This window comes from Homo sapiens, chromosome 5, assembly GCF_000001405.40.
Source record: "Homo sapiens chromosome 5, GRCh38.p14 Primary Assembly".
In the NCBI taxonomy this organism is placed as follows: Eukaryota; Metazoa; Chordata; class Mammalia; order Primates; family Hominidae; genus Homo; species Homo sapiens.
This window is the reverse complement of record NC_000005.10, coordinates 109,637,133-109,641,717: the sequence shown is the minus strand read 5'-3', so window position 1 is coordinate 109,641,717 and position 4,585 is coordinate 109,637,133. Positions and strand designations below refer to the sequence as shown.

The 4,585-nt window shown below is 40.3% G+C and overlaps 1 annotated feature.

The window, feature by feature from the left end:
• Window positions 371-944: an enhancer, noted in NCBI's record as "H3K27ac-H3K4me1 hESC enhancer chr5:108976475-108977048 (GRCh37/hg19 assembly coordinates)". NCBI's record gives its function as "activates a minimal SCP1, AML or CMV promoter by ChIP-STARR-seq in naive H9 embryonic stem cells {active_cell/tissue: H9 hESC(naive)}" and the evidence as "EXISTENCE:reporter gene assay evidence [ECO:0000049][PMID:30033119]".

The window sequence follows — 4,585 nt, the reverse complement described above, 5'->3', positions numbered from 1 at the left end:
ACTGATGCAAGAAATAGGTCCCCATGGTCTTGGGCAGCTCCACCCCTGTGGCTTTGCAAGGTACAACTTCGCTCCCAGCTGCTTTCATGGGCTGGTGTTTTGTCTGCAGCTTTTTCAGGTGCACAGTGCAAGCTGTTGGTGGATCTATCATTCTGGGGTCTGGAGTATGGTGGCCCTCTTCTCACAGCTCCACTGTGCCCCAGTAGGAACTCTGTGTGGAGGCTCTGTCCCAACATTTCCCTTCTCCACTGCCCTAGCAGAGTTTCTCCATGAGAGCCCCACCCCTGAAGCAAACTTTTGCCTGGACATTCAGGCATTTTCATACACCCTCTGAAACCTAGGCGGAGGTTCCCAAACCCCAATTCTTGGCTTCTGTGTACCAGCAGGCTCAACACCACTTGGAAGCTGCCAAGGCTCACACCCTCTGAAACCACAGCCCAAGCTCTACATTTTCCCCTTTCAGCCATGGCTGGAGCAGCTGGGACGCAGGGCACCATGTCCCTAGGCTGCACACAGCACAAGGATCCTGGGACCTGCCCATGAAACCATGTTTTCCTCCTAGGCCTCTGGGCCTATGATGGGAGGGGCTGCCACAAAGTTCTCTGGCATGCCCTGGAGATATTTTCCCCATTGTCTTGGGGATTAACATTCAGCTCCTTGTTGCTTATGCAAATTTCGGCAGCCAGCTTGAATTTCTCCTCAGAAAATGGGATTTGTTTTCTATCTCATCGTCAGGCTGCAAATTTTCTGAACTTTTATGCTCTGCTTCTCTTATAAAACTGAATGCCTTTAATGGCACCCAAGTTACCTCTTGAATGATTTGCTACTTAGAAATGTCTTTCACCAGATACCCTAAATCATCTCTCTCAAATTGAAAATTCCATAAATCTGTAGGGCAGGGCAAAATGCCGCCAATCTCTTTGCTAAAACATAACAACAGTCACCTTTGCTCCAGCTCCCAACAAGTTCCTTATCTCCAACTGAGACCACCTCAGACCAGATTTCATTGTCCATATCATTATCAGCATTTTGATCAAAGCCATTCAACAAGTCTGTAGGAAGTTTCAAACTTTCCCACATTTTCCTGTCTTCTTCTGAGCCCTCCAAATTTTTCCTACCTTGGCCTGTTACCCAGTTCCAAAGTCACTTCCACATTTTCTGGTATCTTTTCAGCAGCACCTCACTCTTGGTACCAATTTACTGTATCAGTTCATTTTCACACCGCTGATAAAGACATACCCAATACTGGGAAATTTACAAAAGAGGTTTAACTGGACTTAACAGTTCCATGTTGGCTGGGGAAGCCTCACAATCATGGCAAAAGGCAAGGAGGAGCAAATCAGGTCTTACATGATGGCAGCAGGCAAAGAGAGAGTGAGAGCCAAGTGAAAGGGGTTTCTTCTTAGAAAACCATCAGATCTTGTGAGACTTATTCACTACCATGAGACCAGTATGAGGGAAACCACCACCATGATTCAATTATCTCCCATCAGGTGCCTCCCACAACAATGGGAATTATGGGAGATACATTCAAGATGAGATTTGGGAGGGGACACAGCCAAATTATATCAAACACCATATCTTGCACAAAAGTATCTAGTGAACTTTTACTAAATTAATGAAATGGGAAGGGGCTGTGGAGCCATAATTAAATGGGTGCTGGTGGAACTGGCTTTAATAATATATGATCTTTGTAGTTGGTTTGGGCCCTCTTTCTACAGGTCAGGGCTATGTAGTAAAGGTCAGGACTTCTTTCCTACACTCTCCTATTCTCTTCATCCCCTCCCTGAGCTATGTCTGAAGGACCGATTCCTATTTTTTAAATTTTATAAATATTATTTTCAACTTTTTAACTAATAAGGGCATATCACATAGAACTAATCCTTACTTTGGACTTTTGTTCCCTTTTCTTTATCTCTCGTCTTTCACCTTTCCTTTCTCCCTAACCCCATCTCTCTTTCCACTCCCATCTCTTCGTCTTTTTTAAAAAAACCTTTATTTTAGGTTCAAGGGTACATGTGTAGGTTGGTTATATAGGTAAACTCATGTCACGGGGGATTTTTGTACAGATGATTTCATCACCCAGGAACTAAGCCTAGTACTCAATAGCTTTTTTGTTCTGATCCTCTCTCTCCTCCCACTTCCACCCGCAAGTAGGCCCTAGTGTCTATTGTTCCCCTCTTTGTGTCCATGTGTTCGAATCATTTAGTTCCCACTTATAAGTGAGAACATGCAGTATTTGGTTGTTTGTTCCTGCATTAATTTGCTAAGGATAATGGCCTGTAGCTCCATCCATGTTCCAGCAAAGACATGATTTTATTCTTTTTAATGGCTGCAGAGTATTCCATGGTGTATATGTAGTATATTTTCTTTATCTAATCTGCCACTGATGAGCATTTAGGTTGATTCCATGTCTTTGTTACTGTGAATAGTGCTGCAATGAACATACACATGCATGTGTCTTTATGGTAGAATGATTTATATTCCTTTGATAAAACTTGTAATGTGATTGCTGGACAAATGCTGCTTTTAGCTTTTTAAGGAATCACCACAGTGCTTTCCACAATGGTTAAACTAATATACGCTCTCACCTGCAGCGTGCAAGTGTTCACTTTTCTCCACCACCATGCCAGCATCTGTTGTTTTTAGACTTTTTAATAATAGCCATTCTAACTGGTGTGAGATGGTATCCCACTGAAGTTTTCATTTACATTTCTCTAGTGATAAGTGATATTGAGCTTTGTTCATATGCTTGTTGGCTGCATATATGACTTCTTTTGAAAAGTGTCTGTTCATGTCCTTTATCCACTTTTTAATAGTTTTCTTTTATCGTAAATTTAAGTTTCTTATAAGTGTCTTTGTCAGACATATAGTTTGCAGATATTTTCTCTGTTACTATGTTGATAGTTTGTTTTGCTCTGCAGATGCTCTTAAGTTTAATTAGATCTCATTTGTCAATTTTTGCTTTTGTAGCGACTGCTTTTGGCATGCTCATCCTGAAACCTTTGGCCATGCCTGTGTCCAGAATGGTATTGCCTAGGTTGTCTTCTAGGGTTTTTATAGTCTGGGGTTTTACATTAAGTCTTTAATCCATCTTGAGTTGATTTTTGTATTTGGTATAAGGAAGAGGTCATTTTAATCTTCTGCATATGGCTAGCCACTTATACCAGCACCATTTATTAAATAGGGAGTCTTTTCCTCATTGCTTGTTTTTTTTCAGCTTTCTCAAAGATCAGATGGTTGTAGATGTGCAGCCTTATCTGGGGACTCTCTATTCTGTTCCATTGGTCTACATGTCTGTTTTCATACCAGTACCATGCTGTTTTGGTTACTGTAGCCCAATGGTACAGTTTGAGGTCGGTAATGTGATGCCTACAGCTTTATTCTTTTTGGTTAGATTTGCCTTGGCTATTTGGGCTCTTTTTAGATTCCATATGAATTTTAAAATAGTTTTTTTCTAGTTCTGTGAAGAAGTCATTGGTAGTTTGATAGGAATAGTACAGAATCTATAAATTGCTCTGGGCAGTGTGGCCATTTTAATGATATTGATTCTCCCTATCCATGAGCATGGAATATTTTTCTGTTTGCTTCTGTCATCTCTGATTTCCTTGAGCAATTCTTTATAGTTCTCCTTGTAGAAATCTTTCACCTCCCCAGTTATCTATGTTCCTAGGTATTTTATTCTTTCTGAGGCAATTGGAAATGAGATTGTGTTCCTGATTTAGCTCTCAGCTTGGCTGTTATTGGTGTACAGGAATACTAGTGATTTTTCATATGTTGATTTTGTTTCCTGAATCTTTGCTGAAGTTGTTTATCAGCTGAAGGAGCTTTTAGGCTCTAGATATAGAATCATGTTTTCTGCAAACAGCAATAGTTTTACTTCCTCTCTTTTTATATGGATGCCCTTTATTGCTTCCTCTTGACTGATTGATCTGGCCAGGACTTCCAAAACTATGTTAAATATGAGTGGTGAGGGAGGACATCCTTGTCTTGTGTCAGTCTTCAGGGGGAATGCTTCCAGCTTTTGCCCATTCAGTATGGTGTTGGCTTTGGGTTTGTCATATGTGGATCTTATTATTTTGAGGTATGTTCTTTCAATACCTAGTTTATTGAGAGTTTTTAACATGAAGAGATGTTGAATTTTATCAAAAGCCTTTTCTGTATCTATTGAGATAATCATGTAGTTTTTGTCTTTAGTTCTGTTTATGTGATGAATCATATTTATTGAATTGTGTGTGTTGAACTAACCTTGCTTCTCAAGGATAAAGCCTATTTGATTGTGGTAGATTAGCTTTATGATGTACTGCCGAGTCCAGTTTGCAAGTATTTTGTTGAGGATCACTGCATCAATGTTCATCAAGAATATTGGCCTGAAGTTTTCTTTTTTGTTGTACTCTGCCAGGTTTTGGTATCAGGATGATGCTGGCCTCATAGAATGAGTCAGGGAGGGGTTCTTCCTCCTCAATTTTTTGGAAAAGTTACAGTAGGAATGGTACCAGCTCTTCTTTGTACATCTGGTAGAATTTGGCTGTGAATCCAACTGGTCCTGGGATTTTTTTGTTGGTAGACTATTTATTACTGATTC